A 17,847-nucleotide genomic window follows, 5' to 3' on the forward strand; every position below is an offset into this window, starting at 1 on the left:
ACCTCTCTGAAGGGCTGTGAAGCTCGAAGTGGCAGCTTAAAAAACTGCCCATCTCAGGAGGTGTCTTAAGAAGGAGGACATACCGCTGGCTCCTGCCTTTCTCACTTAGCCAGGTCTGATACCTGTGTTGTTTTCACTGTGGCCATTTTAGGATTTTTCAAAGGCTTTCAGAAAGCAACATGCTACCGTACCCCTTATACACCAAAACTGGTTTTCATTTTGGAATATAAAAGTGAGATTTCTCCACCAGTACAATAAAGTTGTTACAAGTGGTTCCTATGTGTTTGTTTTTGTTTTTGAGACAGAGTCTCACTCTGTCACCCAGGCTGCAGTGCAGTGGCACAATCTTGGCTCACTGCAACCTCCGCCTCCCGGGTTCAAGCAATTCTCCCACCTCAGCCTCCTAAGTAGCTGGGACTACAGGCACCCGCCACCACGCCCAGCTAATTTTTGTATTTTTAGTAGAGATGGAGTTTCACCATGTTGGCCAGGCTGGTTTTGAACTTCTGACCTCAGGTGATCCACCTGCTTCAGCCTCCCAAAGTCTTAGGATTACAGGCGTGAGCCACCACACCCGGCCTCCTGTGTGTTTTGAAGGTGATTGTGACCTCAGGTTTTGGCAGGGCTATACCTTGTGTTTGCTCTTACTCCAACTCCATGGCATACCTGGACCAGGCCTCTTCATCTTGAAGAGGGATCTGCTGAAATGCAGGCCCAGTGAATCTCCCCATGCCTGGACACAGTTCCGTCAAGCCAGGACCCGGTGCTGCCTGCACCCCTGTTTCTGTTAGTCTGACTGTCCTCGCTGAGTCTAACTCCTTGAGGGCAGAGAGGATGTCTTATTTATTTCTGCCCCGCTAGCCGTGTAAACTGAGTAGGTACTTGTAAATGTTCATTGAATAAGTACCTGATTAATAGAATTTAATTCAAGAAGAATGTATTGATGGGCCTGTGTGGTCACCACAGTACTGAGATGTAGGTGGGAGCTGGCTGAAGGGGGAGGCACCTAAACAGGAGTGCAGACAGCGGCACCTACGGATGATGGCCCGCTCCATCCCACCGCAGCGAAATTGTCCCAGACCTCTGCAGCTTCCCCCACACCTAGACTGAGAGAGAGCTCTTCTTCCTTCTGTAGGGAGCAGGTGTTTCCTCCAGATGTCCAATATGTACCTCCCATTACAGCGGTGTTAGGAAGGTGAGGGCTGCCGCTGAAAGGGTCCCCTTCATAATCATCACTAGATTTGGGGTATATTATGGATTAAATAGAATTTTTATAAGATGACCTGAGGATCTATTTAAATAAAATCCTCTTTCTTTCTGCAAGATCATGGATTTAAATTCAACACAACTGACTTCATAGGGAAGGGGTATGGTGAAAGGGAAGTGAGGTGGGCAGCACTGATATTTAACAAGGTGAGGGTCCTTCTCCTGCTCTGACTGTCACATTAAAATATTCCCAGGAGAAATTGGAGAAAACTCAGATGAAATATCGTCTGTGTTCCAGGAGGCAGGACTCATCGGAATGCTTTTATTTTGCTCCATTTTAAGAGATTTGCAGATAAAGAGGAGTGAAGATTTCTATTCAGATTTACTTGCTTTATATTTTAACTTATAGACCACAAGCCAACTTTCGAAAGAGCATCATTTTGAATAGTAAGAGTTAGGAAGGCAAATACAGAAGGACTAATGGCTTCCAAGATTATGAGCTTCATAGGAATGGTTTGAGATGAGGCTATAGTAAAGCAGAATATTGAAGTTCCCCCACCCCCTTTCATTTTTCATTTTTCATTTTTAAGAGTGAGCGAGGCCAGGCGTGGAGGCTCACACCTGTAATCCCAGCACTTTGGGAGGCCGAGGTGGGCAGATCACAAGGTCAGGAGTTTGAGACCAGCCTGGCCATCATGGTGAAACCCTGTCTCTACTAAATGTACAAAAATTAGCCAGGCTTGGTATCAGGTGCCTGTAATCCCAGCTACTCAGGAGGCTGAGGCAGGAAAATTGCTTGAACCCAGGAGTCGGAGGTTGCAGTGAGCTGAGATCGCACCACTGCACATCTCAGAAAAAAAAAGAGTGAGGCCCCAAGTTTTTTTGCATTTGTTTGTAACTGAATACGTCTGAAGTTATGTGATAACCACGCCAAGGTGACAAATTGCCAAGTTTCAGTAAAAGAGACCCAGTTATTTAGAGGTTGACACGTGGATATGTCCCTTTCTAAGAAGTTCGTGGTCAGCTTTACATGAGTATTTAAATGCGTGTTTATAATTCAGCAATATGGCTTGTAAAATACAGATTGCCAATCAAGTGACATGCAAATCTTGATGATCTGAAACAAGTTTTCTTCTGTTATCTATGGAAGAAATGGTAATAGGGATATTTAAGTGGGATGAATTTTTTGAAGCATTTTCAGGCAGTTTTCCACATGGAACAAAATAACATTGAGTGGGCTGCTAACATGAGGAACATATTGCCCTCTGCCTAGGATTATGAGTAAATTTGATAAATTCTAGACTGCAGTCTCATTTTAGCTCATTTTATGAGGCAGCTTGACAACTGGGATAGTGTCTCTTTTTTTTGTCGGGGGTGTTGAGGCTGGAGTCTCGCTCTGCTGCCCAGGCTGGAGTGCACTGGCGTGATCTCGGCTCACTGCAACCTCTGCCTCCGGGGTTCCAGTGGTTCTCCTACCTCAGCCTCCTGAGAAGCTGGGATTGTAGGCATGTGCCACCACGCCCGGCTAATTTTTGTATTTTTTAGTGGAGACGGGCTTTCACCATGTTGGCCAGGCTGGGTCTCAAACTCCTGACCTGAAGTGATCTGCCCGCCTCAGCCACCCTAAGTACTGGGATTACAGGCATGAGCCACCACACCTGGCTTCTGTTCTATCTGTGCATTGGGGATGAAATTAACACAAATGATGTTTAAAGAAAAAAATGCTCAGAGAAGTTAGAAATGTGCTTTAAATTGGAATCATCTCTTAGTATGTAAAAGTTTTTTGTAATAGAAACAAGCAGGGCAGTATTTGACCTGTTGACAGTGTCCTTGGACTTTACAATTTGTGAAGCAGCGTATTTTGCTTGAGTTGTACGATTGTCGTTTTTTTCCCCCCACTTTGACAACTGTTACAGAACCTGTCACCAGATACAGGCAAGGGAGGTTGGGCTTCCCATCTCTGCACGGCTTCCCTGTGATTCACAAGCAAGCAATCAGAAGTGCACAAAAGTTTAGAACGCGATTTTCATTCTCTTCTTTCCTTAGAAAAACTCGCTTTGTTAGCCTTTTCCAGAAAGGAAGGCACTCAATTGTTGTAATACTCAAATCATAAAAAGAAGCCTAGTCTAGTCTATTCAGCAAGGTGTTCTGAAAGAGGGAATTTTTTAAGTTCAATTATGCGAAGATCTTGAAGGTGGGACTCAAAGGAGAGGGCTATCCTGGGAAGAAGGCTTTGGAAAATGAGAGGCATGAAGGGGAGAGGGTATTTAAATGTGTTTGAAGCCAAGGATCCTTGAGAGAAAAAGCTGGCACTAACAGCGTTCAAAGAACTTGCGTGACAAGTGATGACTAATGACACTGAGGGTGGGTTGTGGGTGCCTAGTGAATTCCTCCGAAGCCAAGAGAGAGGTTTCCAGACCCAGGGAAGAAGGTGTGTACACCCAGAAGTAGTGTAGGGACAGAGATTCCGATCACAAGCTGTGACTGGAAGACGCCGACCACCACTGCAGCAGCCTGAAAACCACAGTCTTGAACCGCCAGCGAAGGGCTGGGAAGTGCGGATCCAGGGCTGGTGCACTGAACCCAGAGGAGCAGGCTCCCATTCCCAGCTAAGGGTGGCAGCTGGCGGGGATCTTTCCAGCAGAAAGCTGTAAGTGGAAGCTTTCAATTCAGAGCAGTAGCAATGCCTTCAAAGTCCCAGGCTTCACGTGGGAACAGAGAATGTGAAGAGTATTTAGCAGGATGCCAATATAAGAAATCTATATTGGTGTTCGTTTGTTTGTTTTTGAGATGGAGTCTCGCTCTGTCACCCAGGCCGGAGTGCAGTGGTGCGATCTCAGCTCACTGCAATCTCTGCCTCCTGGGTTCAAGCGATTCTCCTGCCTCAGCCTCCTACATAGCTGGTACTACAGGCACGCGCCACCATGCCTGGCTAAATTGTTGTATTTTTAGTAGAGATGGGGTTTCACCACGTTGGCCAGGCTGGTCTCAAACTCCCGGCCTCATGATCCGCCCTCTGCAGCCTCCCAAAGTGCTGGGATTACAGGCGTGAGCCACCGCACCTGGCCCAATATTGTTTGTTTATTTATTTCTTGACAGGATCTCACTCTGTCACCAGGCTGGAGTGCAGTGGTGTGATCTCAGCTCACTGCAACCTCCACCTCTCTGGCTCAAGCAATCCTCCCTCCTCAGCCTCCTGAGCAGCTGGGACTACAGGTGCACACCACCACACCCAACTAGATTTTGTGTTTTTTGTAGAGATGGGGTTTAGCCATGTTCAGCTAGTCTCAAACTCCTGGGCTCAAGTGATCTGTCCGCCTTGGCCTCCCAAAGTGTTGGGATTACAGGTGTGATTCATGATGTCCAGCCCAGTATTTTTCTTTCACTCTGGAAACCAAAAATTATTGGCTTTTTTTCCTGTTGCATTCCCTTTACTTAGATGAATCTAGCAAGGTTGGCTGTTAGTGTCTAGGTCAGAAGTCTAAGTGAAAGTGAATATTTAACCACACTCAAGCACAGCTGATGATCTTTAATACTAATAGAGGTATAAGACTTAAAAGAAACAAGAACCCAGAGGGAAAATATGGCCATGGACTCAGAGAAAACCACGGCAGCTTCCATGGACTCATAAAAAGAGCTCAAAACCTAGGAAGTGGATGGAGACTCTTTTTGGAATGAATGAATTCAAATGTGGGCTTTCTTAGTAGATTAAATCATTTTCTAGAAGGAATTTCAGAAGGATGTGTGCCCAATTATGGTATCAGGTCTGTTGTAGACTCTTCAAGGAGGAAGCCTCTGAAAGACAAGAAGGAACAATTAAAAATTAGAATTCAGGTGAGTGGATCACGAGGTCAAGAGATCGAGACCAGCCTGGCCAACATGGTGAAACCCCGTCTCTACTAAAAATACAAAATTTAGCTGGGCATGGTATGGCTGTAGTCCCAGCTACTCGGGAGGCTGAGGCAGGAGAATCACTTGAACCCGGGAGGCGGAGGCTGCAGTGAACCAAGATTGTGCCACTGCACTCCAGCCTGGCAACAGCGAGACTCCATCTCAAAAATAATAAGTAAATAAATAAATAAATAAAAATTAGAACTCAGAAAAGGAATTAATTTCTTCTGAGAGAGAAAAAGATGAGATTCTAGCCTAAGGTGTAACACATCCATCCACCAGGTATCATTTTTATACACGTGAAGTTAAATCACCAAAGGACCAGGTGAGCAGATGTGGACTTTCCGACTGTGTGTGTGCGACTTCCTCAGAGCCCTCAGTGGCGTTCCCTTTTCCGCGCTAGCGTTTGGTCCCTGCGCTTTTCTGGATGCCCCCACCCCCTCTGGCTCCACGAGGCCCCCTGTACGTCACCATCACCTTTGTGAGCTTGAAACCTGTCACCCACCCGCCTTCCAGATGTCACCTGGGCCCTCCCGGAGGCCCTCGCCCTCAGTGTGTCTGATTCTGAGCTGTCCTGCGTTTTCCCCTCCCCTCACCCTGGCGACCCTTTTCGGTCTCAGTTGCCAGCCTCCTGCTAGGGCTGGGTGGGGGACATCAAAGGCAGGACAAGGTGTAGGGTCCTCACCCACCACTTAGCAGCTCTCAGATGCAGACAGATTTTTCAGCTGGCCTGTGGCTCAGTTTCCCTCAGCTACAAGAGGGGTGCATGCTAGGGTTTCTCTGGATTGCTGCACCTGGCAGGTAGTGTGAGCTTGGTAGGTGCTTCCTTGCTTATCATTGCCTCTCCCATCTTAATGTTGTCCCATCCATCCAATGTTTATGGGATGAGAGGTTGATAGGAGGGCATGGCCCTGACATTCCAGGGACTGACCGACACGCTGTCTACACAAACCCCTTCTGGTTCTTCTCGTGCACTGGGCGTGCCGGAGACACACTCCCTTACCCTCATACCCCGCCGCACCCCTGTGACCTCTACCTTTGAGACCTCAGCTTAAACTCACTCTTAGGGAAGGCTCCCTGAACCACCTGCTGGGGTTGTATGCTGATGCAGGTACTTGTAACACCTGGTGCTTTTCCTTTCGTGCACTCAGGCAGTGTTTATTCAAGTGATGGCTTGGTGACAGTGGCTCTCCCTGAGACCCCGTGAGGCCAGAGTCCTTGGCTCATCACTCATGGTTGAACCCGGAGCCTCTTGCTGGTAGGTGCTTCAGGACTGGCTCTGGGAGCCTGTGGCTCCTGCCGGGTACCCACCGGTTGAGATACCTCAAGTTTTAAATGCCACCTCCTTCCTGAAGCCTTCCTTGCTGCTCCCCCAAACTAGAGGCAGGAGTTTTGTCCTTCAGATAACCTATGGCATTTGAGTCACTCTGATTTGATGAATTCTGCCTTCACTTGAGCAGCTATTAGGGGCATATGTCAGTCATTCATTCCTCAGTTCATGTATTTATTCAGCAAATATTTACTGAGCACGTACTGCGTGCCAGGCACTGTCCTGCTGTGGAAAACAGCAGGCATGATTCCCTGCCACTACCAACCACTGCATCGCATAACTGGCAGACTCCCAGCTTCAAGGAGAGGCACGGAGGGAAACTGAGAGCAGCCTGCAGAGGGGAAAGAGCGGGGACAGAGGGTCACGGAGGTCGCAGGGGCGTGTGTGCAGCACCTGCCAGTGAACGGAATGTGCGGCTCCAGATGTCGTTGTCTTTAAACTTCGGAATTTCCTTTCACTAAAGAACCAAGTCCAGGGGGAGGAAAGAGTGAATACAAATTATCCAAGAAACTCAAGAGCTCATTTTAGTTCTCCTGATTATGATCTTAAAGGCATTAAGCGCTCAAGTTAAACTCCTTGTGACCCACATAGGTTAGCAGAATTTAAATCCTAGGTGATTATTAACTCTAATCATACATCTAATGACCTATATTGAAGATACACTGCCTGCTTAGTTGTGGCTTCAGCCTTTGCTCCGTCACTGATAGTTCTAGCCTGAAAAGCAAATGAGCCCTCATGCTCACGATTTCACCACAGTCACATAAGCGGGAAGAGCAGGCTCCTGGCTGTGGCGAGCTTGACTCCATTTGGTTTGATAGAAATGAGAGGTAGATGATTCCCTAGACAAATGCAGGCCTTTCTCGAAGCCCCTTTCCCAGGACGACGTGACATGAGTGGTCTGTGCCTTCCAGGGCAGCCACGTCATGCTTTGCCCAGCCAGGGCGGTGGGGAGGGAGACAGCCACATCCTGCCCGGGGCTCCTGGGCCCCGCTGCATCAAGTGAAAGCAGGGCTGGCTCCCTGATGTCCTTGGAGAAGTCGCCCACACTGCTTTCCCCCATGGGAGTGACAAGGATGTGTCCCGCCAGCCTTCCACGACGGACCCCCCACTCTCTATTAATTCCCAAGAAACCAGGCCATGGAGGTGGGTTTGAGGGTTTGTATTGGTGTTTTTTAAAGTCAGGTTGACCGAGTGCGGTGGCTCACGCTTGTAATCCCAGCACTTTGGGAGGCTGAGGCGGGCGGATCACATGAGGTCAGGAGTTCAAGACCAGCCTGGCCAACATGGTGAAACCTTGTCTCTACTAAAACTACAAAAAAAATTACCTGGGCGTGGTGGTGGGCGCCTGTAATCCCAGCTACTCAGGAGGCTGAGGCAGGAGAAACCCTTGAACTAGGGAGGCTGCAGTGAGCCGAGATCGCGCCACTCCAGCCTGGGTGACAAGAGTGAGATTCTGCCTCAAAATAAATAAAGTCGGGTTTATTAAGATATAATTTACATACAGTAATTTTTTTTTTTTTTGAGACAGAGTTTCACTCTTGTTGCCCAGGCTGGAGTGCAATGGCACGATCTCAGCTCACTGCAACCTCCGCTTCCAGGGTTCAAGCCATTCTACTGCCTCAGCCTCCTGAGTAGCTGAGATTACAGGTGTCCACCACCATGCCTTGCTAATTTTTGTATTTTTAGTAGAGACAGGTTTTCGCTATGTTGGCCAAGCTGGTCTTGAACTCCTGACCTCAGGTGATCCGCCAGCCTCGGCCTCCCAAAGTGCTGGGATTACAGGCATGAGCCACTGCACCCGGCCAGTACATGCTTTCTTGATTTGTCTGTTTCCCACCTGTCTCCCCTCCCTAGAATGGCAGCTCCATGACGACAGAGGTGTTTCTCTGTTTTCTCCATGGCTGCACCCTCAGCTGCTAGAAGGTGGCCCAGCATAGGAGGTATTTAATGAAGCCTTCCTCTCCACTTAAATCTACACCCTTGTGCTTATTAAAAGGTGACAGTTTTCTGTTTGAAAATTTTATTAGTGTTTTAATGAGAAAGTTATTATTTGGGTAATGCCTGAATATGAGGAAAACATTAAGGGTAGAAATGTAATTGTTTTCCTATTTCATTCAGTCTATGGATTTTATTGAAGATTACAGAATTACTTCTTTGTAGCTATGGAAGTAAAAAAATAATAAGACGAGTAGCTATTTCAAAACGTAGGGCTGATAAATTTGGGATGGTTTGAGAACGTTAAGTTGGGGAACTCCATTTCTTTTTTTACATTTTTATTTATTTTCATTTGTTTATTTATTTATTTGAGACAGAGTTTCGCTCTGTTGCCCAGGCTAGAGTGCAATGCCATGATCTCGGCTCACTGCAACCTCTGCCTCCGGGGTATAAGTGATTCTCCCATATCAGCCTCCCGAGGAGCTGGGACTACAGGCGCCTGCCACCACACCTGGCTAATTTTTGTATTTTTAGTAGAGATGGGATTTGGCCATGTCAGCCAGGCTGGCCTCAAACTCCTGACCGCAGGTGATCCGCCTGCCCTTGGCCTCCCAAAGTGCTGGGATTACAGGTGTGAGCCACCGCGCCCAGCCAGGGAACTGCATTTCTGACAGTGGCTCAGTAGTTTGGAAGTTAACTGGCAAAGGTGGACAGAATCTTTAAACATATGTGGAGGAATTGGAGAGTTTACAAGATAGTGAAGAACTGCCAGGCCATGGTCTGGAGAAGATGGAAACTTGATGTTTGGGGCCATTGTGTCCCTGGGGTGTTGGCCAATTTATGAAAGAAGCAGTTAAGAGCCTGAGTGGCACTTTTGAGGGGCTAGAAGGGAAGACCCTGGTAAACATCCCAAACTTTGGATTGGGACCCAAAAAAGCTCCATCCCAGGAGTACAGGTGACCTGGAAACGGATCAGCGTAATCGAGGACTGAAGTCCAGTTCTAGCTACGCCCAGTCCTTGAGACTGGATTAAGGTGATCTCAGATTGCAAGGACCTCAAATGCCTGGCAGAAGCAAGTGAATATCCTTCTGGAGGAACAGAGCCTCATCCTAGGCCTCTAATTATTTTTAAGGACAATTTTTCAAATGCAGGCTTTCCTCCCTTTGCACAGTTCCCTTATGCATAAATTTCAGTCAGTGGCCAGCTGCAGTGGCTCATGCATGTAATCCCAGCGCTTTGGGAGGCCAAGGCGGGTGAATTGCTTGAGTCTGGGAGTTGGAGACCGGCCTGGGCAACATAGAACCCCATCTCTATTTTTAAAAATAAAATATTAATTATCACTGCTTAGTTAAATTATAGTGGTCTCCCAACAATACAGATCAGATCCCAGCTCCCATGGTATATACACTGTGAGTGCTGTATAAAGTACAAGCTCTGCCGCCAGTTCTCCAGCCTACAAATCACAGTATAGATAACAGATGTGCATGATGATCACTGGCCAATTGCGTCACTTCTCTCAAAGTCAGTCTGTGATTGGTCCCTGAGCATCTGTCGGTCAGTTTCATGCACAGACTGCAAAGCATATGGTTTTGTCTACTCTTTGTCTCTCAGTGATAAACCCACATGGCATTTTGTAAAAGTGGATACATCAGGCCAGGTGTGGTGGCTCATGCCTGTAATCCCAGCACTTTGGGAGGCTGAGGCAGGTGGATCATTTGGGGTCAGGAGTTTGAGACCAGCCTGGCCAACATGGTGAAACCCCATCTCTACTAAAAATACAAAAATTAGCTGGATGTGGTGGCAGGCGCCTGTAATCCCAGTTACTGGGGAGGCTGAGGCAGGAGAATTGCTTGAACCCAGGAGGCAGAGCTTGCAGTGAGCCGAGATCATGCCACTGCACTCTAGCCTGGGTGACAGAGCAAGACTACCATCTCAAAAAAAAAAAAACAAAAAACAGTAATCAAGCATGAAAATTATGAAATGCTCAGAGATAAAATGCGCGAGGCCTGTACACTGTAATCTACAAAACACTGCTGAGAGAAATTTTAAAAGACCTAAATAAATGGCAAGTTATAACATGCTCTTGAATCAGAAGACTCAGTATCTTAGGATGGCGACTTTTCCCAAAATGATCTACAGATTCAAAGCAATCGGAATCAGACCTCAGCATGCCTACTTGTAGAATTTGATAACCTGATTCTAAAGTTTATATGGAAATGCAAGGAACCCAGAGTTGCTAAAATAACTTTGAAAAAGAACAACACAGTTGAAGGACTTAGACTACATGATTTCAAGAATTATTATAAAGCTACAGTAATCAAGACAGTATGGTATTGATATGAAAATAGACCATTAGATGAATGGAACAGAATAGCAAGTCCAGAAATAGATCCACACATATATGGTCAATTGATTTTCAGCAAAGTGCCAAGTCATTTAAGTGGGGAAAAGATAATCTTTTCAACAAATGATACCGGAACAACTGGATAGCCATATGCAAAAGAACCTCAACCTTCAGCTCACAGCACTACAAACTCATAATTATTATCATTATATTATACTATTATGTAATAATAGTATATATCATGTTACATATTATATTATGTAATATATATTATATGATACTGTTATGTCATATAATTATTATTGAAATGGGTCATAGATCTAATTGTAAGAGTTAAAACCATCCAGGTACAGTGGCTCATGCCTGTCATCTTGCACTTTGAGAGGCCAAGGCGGGTGGATCACTTGGCCCCAGGAGTTACAAGACCATCCTGGGCAACATAGCGAAACACCGTCTCTACAAAAAAATGAAAAAATTAGTTGAGCATGATGACACTCACCTGTAGTCCCAGCTGCACAGTAGTCTGAGGTGGGAGGATCACCTGAGCCCAGAGAGGTCAAGGTTGCAGTGAGCCATGATTGCACCACTGCACTCCAGACTGGGTGACAGAGAGACCGTGTGTTAAAAAAAGAGTTAAAACTATAAAACCTTCAGAAGAAAACATATGAGAAAATTCTAGTGATTTGGGGTTTGGCAAAGATTCCTTGAACATGATTTAAAAAGCATTAACTAGGCCAGGTATGCTGGCTTACACCTGTCATTCCAATGCTTTGGGGGACCGAGGTGAGAGGATAGCTTGAGGCCAGGAGTCCGAGAGCAGCCTGGGCAACATAACAAGAGTGGGTCTTTACCAAAAAAAAAAAATAAAAAGCCTGTGCCAGGCACAGTGGCACATGTCTGTAGTCCTAGCTACTCACGAAGCTGAGGCAGGAGGATCACTTGAGCCCAGGAGTTGAAGCTTGCAGTGAATTATGACCATGCCACTGCACTCCAGCCTGGGCCACAGAGTAAGACTAAGACTCAGTCTCTTAAAGAAGAAAGCGACCGGGCGCAGTGGCTCACGCCTGTAATCCCAGCACTTTGGGAGGCTGAAGCAGGTGGATCACAAGGGCAGGAGATGAAGACCATCCTGGCTAACACGGTGAAACCCCATCTCTACTAAAAATACAAAAAATTAGCCGGACGTGGTGGTAGGCGCCTGTAGTCCTAGCTACTCGGGAGGCTGAGGCAGGAGAATGGCGTGAACCTGGGAGGCGGAGCTTGCAGTGAGCCAAGATCGTACCACTGCACTCCAGCCTGGACAACAGAGCGAGACTCCATCTCAAAAAAAAAAAAAAAAAAAAAAAAAAAGAAGAAAGCATAAACTATAAAAGAAAAAATTAATAAATTAGTCATCCTCAAAATTAGAAACTTTTACTCATCAGAAAACACTTAATAAAATGAAAAGTCAAGCCATAGACTTAGAGAAAATATTTACAAAACATATATCTGACAAAGGACTTGGATATGGATTATATAAAGAACTATTGTAATTCAATAAGATGTCAAACAACCCAATTAAAAATGGGTGAAAGATGAACTAACTCTTCAACAATGGGCATGTCATTTGAATGGATGGTAAGCAAGCACATGAAAAGATGTTCATGTGCCTTTCCCTCATTAGTCACTAGGGAAATGCAAGTTCATAGACATCTCTCTTCGTAGAAAGATATCACTACACACCCACAAGAGTGGCTGTAATTAAGCAGTCTGACCAAGTATGCGTAAGAATGTGGAATAAGAACTCTCATACACTGCTGATGGGAATGTAAAATGATAGCCACTTTGGAAAACATTTTGGCAAATAATACCACTTACATTATTATCGAAAATATTGTATACCTGAAAGAACTCAAAGTGAAAAAGCTATATACTGTCTGCTTCCAAGGCTACACATTATGGGAAAGGCAAAACTATGAAGACAGTAAAAAGATGCGCCAGTGGTTGCCAGGGGCTCATGGGGAGGGAAAGAGGAATGAATAGGTGGAACACAGGGCATGTTTAGGGCAGTGAAACTATTCTGTATGGTACCGTAACGATGAATACATGTTATTAGGCATTTGTCAATACCCATAAAATGTACAACACAAAGAGTGAAAATGAAAACTGTGGGCTTCAGTTAGCAATAATATGTCAACATTGGCTCATCAGTGGCAACAAATGTACCTCACCAATGCAAGATGTTTGTTTGTTGTTTGTTTGTTTTGTGACGGAGGGGGTGCAGTGGCGCAATCTCGGCTCACTGCAAGCTCCGCCTCCCGGGTTCACGCCAATCTCCTGCTTCAGCCTCCGGAGTAGCTGGGACTACAGGCGCCCGCCACCACGCCCGGCTAATTTTTTGTATTTTTAGTAGAGACGGGGTTTCACCATGCTAGCCAGGATGGTCTTGATCTCCTGCTGTCGTGATCTGCCCGCCTCGGCCTCCCAAAGTGCTGGGATTACAGGCATGAGCCATCACGCCCGGCCACCAATGCAAGATGTTAATAACAGGGAAACTGTGGTGGGAGTGAGGTGGTATATGAGACCTCTCTGTACTTTCCACTCAATTTTTCTGTAAGCCCAAAACTTCTCTAAATAAGAAAGTTTATTAATTAAAAGTTACTTTTATAGTGTATCTATATCTAGGAATAAATCTGAAAAAGATATATAAGATCTCTACTCAGAAAACTGATTATGTTATTAAGAGAGCTTAAATATAGCCCAAATAAATAGATGGATATACTATGTTCATGGAAGGGACAGCTCAGTATTAGGAAGGTGTCAGTCATCTTAAGAAAAGCCTCATGTGTCACACAAGGGATACTGACATCTGACACCAAGCACATGTAGGCATCCTGACTACGTTTACTTGAATGATGTGGACTTTACAGAGCTGACTATAGACAGTTCAAATGGCCTGAAAACTGTTCAATGCACTCCCTCCCAGGCTGTCATGGGATGCACTTCAGGAACTTTACTTTTTAACAAGAAAATTCAGTTTTCCTCTTAAACAGCTGGCTTCTGTTCCATTAGCATTCTTGTCACTTTAAGTTGCATTCATCTTTGTTTTTTTTTTTTAGAAAAACATTTGTTCTGCAACCAGTCTTGTCCTTTAAATACTTGTACTGTATACAGGCTCTTTTTCATAGGTCCATTACTTAAAATGATGTAAGTGTGTTTTTGGTGGCAGGGGGGTGGGAGTTGTTTGTTTTGTTTTGTTGAGACACGGTCTTACTCTGTCACCCAGGCTGGAGTGCAGTGGTGTGATCTTGGCTCACTCCTGGCCTCAAGTGATCCACCCACCTCAGCCTCCTAAGTAGCTGGGACCACAGGTGTGTACCACCACACCCAGCTAATTTTTTTTTTTTTTTTTTTTTTTTTTTGTAGGGACGGGGTTTTGTCATATCACCCAGGCTGGTCTCAAACTCCTGGACTCAAGGGATCAGCCTGTCTCAGCCTCCCAAAGTGCTGGGATTACAGGTGTGAGCCACTGCACCGGTCCTGATTTGAGTTTTTGTAAGACAGGGAACAATGTTCAGAATTTAGCACCAATGTCAGACTCATTCTGTAAATTTTTATTGAACGTCTGCCTGGTGTAGGAGAGGAAGATGACAGACAAGAATTCTTCCTCCAAGAGTTACAGGTCAGTTGAGCAGAAAAGGCATACATCAATACCCACAATGAGAGTTGTCGTGATTCAGAGGAGGGACAAAGTCCTTCCCCTGGAGGGATCCTGAGCACTTTGGAGAGGAAAGGCATCTGTACTGCCCCCCAAATGTGTAGAATGGGATGCATTCCTGGCAGAAAGAAGTAGGATAAAGTACAGAGGCCAGGGCTGGGTGCAGTGGTTCACGCCTGTAATCCCAGCACTTTGGGAGGCCGAGACAGCAGATCACCTGAGGTCAGGAGTTCGAGACCAGCCTGGTCAACATGGCAAAACCCTCTCTCTACTAAAAATACAAAAATTAGCCAGGCACAATGGCAGGTACCTGTAATCCCAGCTACTTGGGAGGCTGAGGCAGGAGAATTGCTTGAGCCCAGGAGGCAGAGATCGCAGTGAGCCAAGACTGCGCCACTGCACTCCAGCCTGGGCAACAGAGCAAGACTCTGTCTCATAAAAAAAGAAAAAAAAAAAGTACAGAGTCCAGGAAGCCTGGGGTGGGGCTGGCAGATGCCGAGTCATCTATTTTGGCCAGAGTTCAAGGCTTGCTAGGGGACATGAAGAGAAGATTCGTGCATTCTAGTTCAAACTCCACCAGATATTTGAGCTCCTTCTCTGTACCAGGCATTGTTCTAAGATACGTAAGTGAACAAAACCCATGACACCCTCGTCTATGAGAGCTGATCCTCTGGCAGGGACAGACAGGTCATGAGTGGAGTGATGGAGCAGCTGGCCTGGTGACTTAGCCGCCTTCAGGTACAGTAGGAGGAGCAAGCCCAGGACAGGTGAGTGGGTCAAGGGTGCCAGAAGGGGTGAGGGCACCAGGAAGCTGGTCCAGTTTGGCTTCCCTGAGGTGGTGACCAGGACCTAGCATCTGAGGAAGGGCTGGAAGCAGGTGAGAGCAGGTGGAGCAGACATCAGGATGGGAGCATCCTGACAGGGAGGGCAGCAGGGTGGGCTCATGAGAGGAACAGCCAGGAAGTGTGACTCGAGCAGTGTCCTGGAGAGGAGGAGGAGGAGAAAGAGGTCAGGAGGTCCCAGGGGAGAGGCAGGACCAGTCTCGTGGAGGTCGGGGCCGTTGTGAGGACTCTGGTTTGTGTTGTGTGTGAAAGGCCATGGGATGGGGACCAGCGAGGGCTTCTTAGGGGACTGGATATGCTCTGATCTAGCTGCTAAAAAGCCCCCTTGGGCAGCTTGCAGGGCCCGGGCAGAAGCTATAGGTGGTTCTGAGGTTTGCAGAGGGGCCTGAAGGGGTGGGGCCCGGCCAAGCAAGGTGGCTAAGTGGGAAAGGCTCCACCGCGTTGGGTGTAGGAAGACCTTGACCTTAGCTCCAGCCCAGCCACTGAGCAGCCGTGTCGCCTTGGGTGATACCTGTCCCTGGTCGGTTTCCCTACCTGTGAATCTGGGTACTTGGAAGCCATGCTCGAGAAGAGCCCATCCCCAGGAGGTGATCAGGGTTCTCCTTCAGGTGAGGAACCTGGCAGCCGTGTGTGAGAACCTTAGAAAAGGGAGAGGGAAGAGGCTGTGGCAGGAAGTGAGGAGGGAGTTAGTGATACCCTGGGCAGGATGCCATGAGCTGGGATGGAAACCACAGGATGAATGCAAGTAATTAAAAAAAAAAAAAAAAAAAAAACAGCATTGGGCCGGGCAGTGGCTCACGCCTGTAATCCCAGCATTTTGGGAGGCCGAGGTAGGTGGATCACCTGAAGTCAGGAGTTGGAGACCAGCCTAGCCAACATGGTGAAACTGAAAATGCAAAAATTAGCCAGGCATGGTGGCGTGTGACTATAGTTCCAGCTACTCAGGAGGCTGAGACAGGAGAATCACTTGAACCTGGGAGGTGGATGTTGCTGTGAGCTGAGATCGTGCCACTGCATTGCAGCCTCGGTGAGAGAGCAAGGCCCCATCTCAAAAAAGAAAAAAACAGACTTTCCGACCAAACGATCGACAAACCAGACTGTCCAAACAGCCATAAGCCGTAACTTTGTGCGGAGGTAAAAGACCGAGGTCACATCGGGACCTGTTGGATTCAAGGCATGTTGACAGCTGTTTCCAGGCTTCAGATAGAGCCTCCAGCTGGCAGGGTGGCCACAGGGCTTGTTGAGTAGGAAGCCTCGTTGCTTTGACAGGTTACTTGGCCCCATGAGGGACAATCCCATAGTCAGTTACCCAGAAACGTGACTGTCTCCTTGAAATCCTCAGCATGGGGTCTTATGAATAAACCCTTACTAGATTTCCTGTTCTGTCTTATTTTTATGCAGAGCTTTACTTTATAGCAGAAAATTCCATTTTTACCCTTAAATGGCTTGCTTCTGCTCCCTTAGTGTTCTTGTCACTTTAAGTTGCATTCATCTTTGTCCCTTTAGAAAAGGATTTGTCCTGCAACCAGCTCTTGCAGAAGGTACTTGGTTTATTGTTAACCGATGTTTGCTAAATGTTTGAATTATGTTGAGTTGCTTAAAGTCATGCTATCGGGTAGATGTTGTGGCTGTTCTTTTCACTCTCTTATTTGGGGATTTACAAAACAGTTATGTTTTTAGTTTTCTTTTATTTGTTGTGTTGAATAGGAATGTAGCTCTGGGAACCTCTAGTTCCAAATAAGAAAGCCTTGGACACATTTCCAGTTGGCAAGCTGGCAAAATGAAGGGCGTACAAGTTGTTAGAGAGGCTGGGAGCCTATTTAAGCACCCAGCTTCAGGATGGGACATGGGATATACCTCGAGTTAGAGGTTCTTATTAACTGTGGATTCTTCTATGCAGATATCTGTCACAATATAAGTTACTATAAGTCAGTACTAAGGCAGCTGCTACATTCTGTTTGCCAAGGGGAAGAAGAAAGCTTGGAAATGGTATTCCTTAAAAATGTCAGTATCATAAAAGACAAAGAAAAGCTGCGGAAATGTTTCAGATTAAAAGAGAGAAGACAATAAAATGTAATACCTGACTCTGAACAGCATCCAGTACTGAAGGAGGAAAAATGCTATCAAGGACATTATTGGGTCAATTAACAAAATTTGAATACGAATCATAGATTGAACTGTATCTGTTAAATTAACAGAAGCGAAGTGTTCTGTGGTGTGTAGGAGCACACTGCCATTCTTAGCAAACGTGTAGTTTAGTATTTAGGAGAAAGGGCCATGAGGCATGCAACTCACCCTCAAATACACACACACATACACATATATACATACATACCTATAAAGAAAGAAATTATGGGCTAGGTGCAGTGGCTCATGCCTGTAATCCCAGCACTTTGGGAGGCCGAGGTGGGTGGATTGTGAGGTCAGGAGATCGAGACCCTCTCTACTAAAATACAAAGAATTAGCTGGGCGTGGTGGTGCACGTCTGTAGTCCCAGCTACTCGGGAGGCTGAGGCAGGAGAATTGCTTGAACCCAGGAGGCAGAGGTTACAGTGAGCCGAGATTGCACCACTGCACTGCAGCCTGGCAACAGAGCAAGAC

The 17,847-nt window shown here is 46.4% G+C and overlaps 1 protein-coding gene and 1 long non-coding RNA gene across 25 annotated transcripts in view; one reads left to right on the plus strand and one right to left on the minus strand.

Moving 5' to 3' along the window:
• Positions 1-17,847, plus strand: part of PPARA (peroxisome proliferator activated receptor alpha) — a 93,231-nt gene that overhangs the window by 5,796 nt on the left and 69,588 nt on the right. For 3 of the 24 annotated variants that reach the window (XM_047441425.1, NM_001001929.3, XM_047441426.1), the window contains exon 1: positions 14,963-15,171. The exons of the other annotated variants lie outside the window; for them this stretch is intronic. The gene's annotated coding sequence lies outside the window, so the exon portion shown is untranslated. Of the gene's footprint in view, positions 1-14,962; positions 15,172-17,847 lie in introns of those variants that run through there. 24 annotated transcript variants of the gene reach the window in all.
• Positions 4,721-15,907, minus strand: LOC105373074 (uncharacterized). Its single transcript, XR_938315.3, has 2 exons — positions 15,781-15,907; positions 4,721-5,001 (listed from the first exon to the last, which is right to left on the minus strand). It is a non-coding gene; the product is annotated as an uncharacterized LOC105373074 (long non-coding RNA).

The sequence above is a fragment of the Homo sapiens genome, chromosome 22 (genome assembly GCF_000001405.40).
Source record: "Homo sapiens chromosome 22, GRCh38.p14 Primary Assembly".
Classification (NCBI taxonomy): Eukaryota; Metazoa; Chordata; class Mammalia; order Primates; family Hominidae; genus Homo; species Homo sapiens.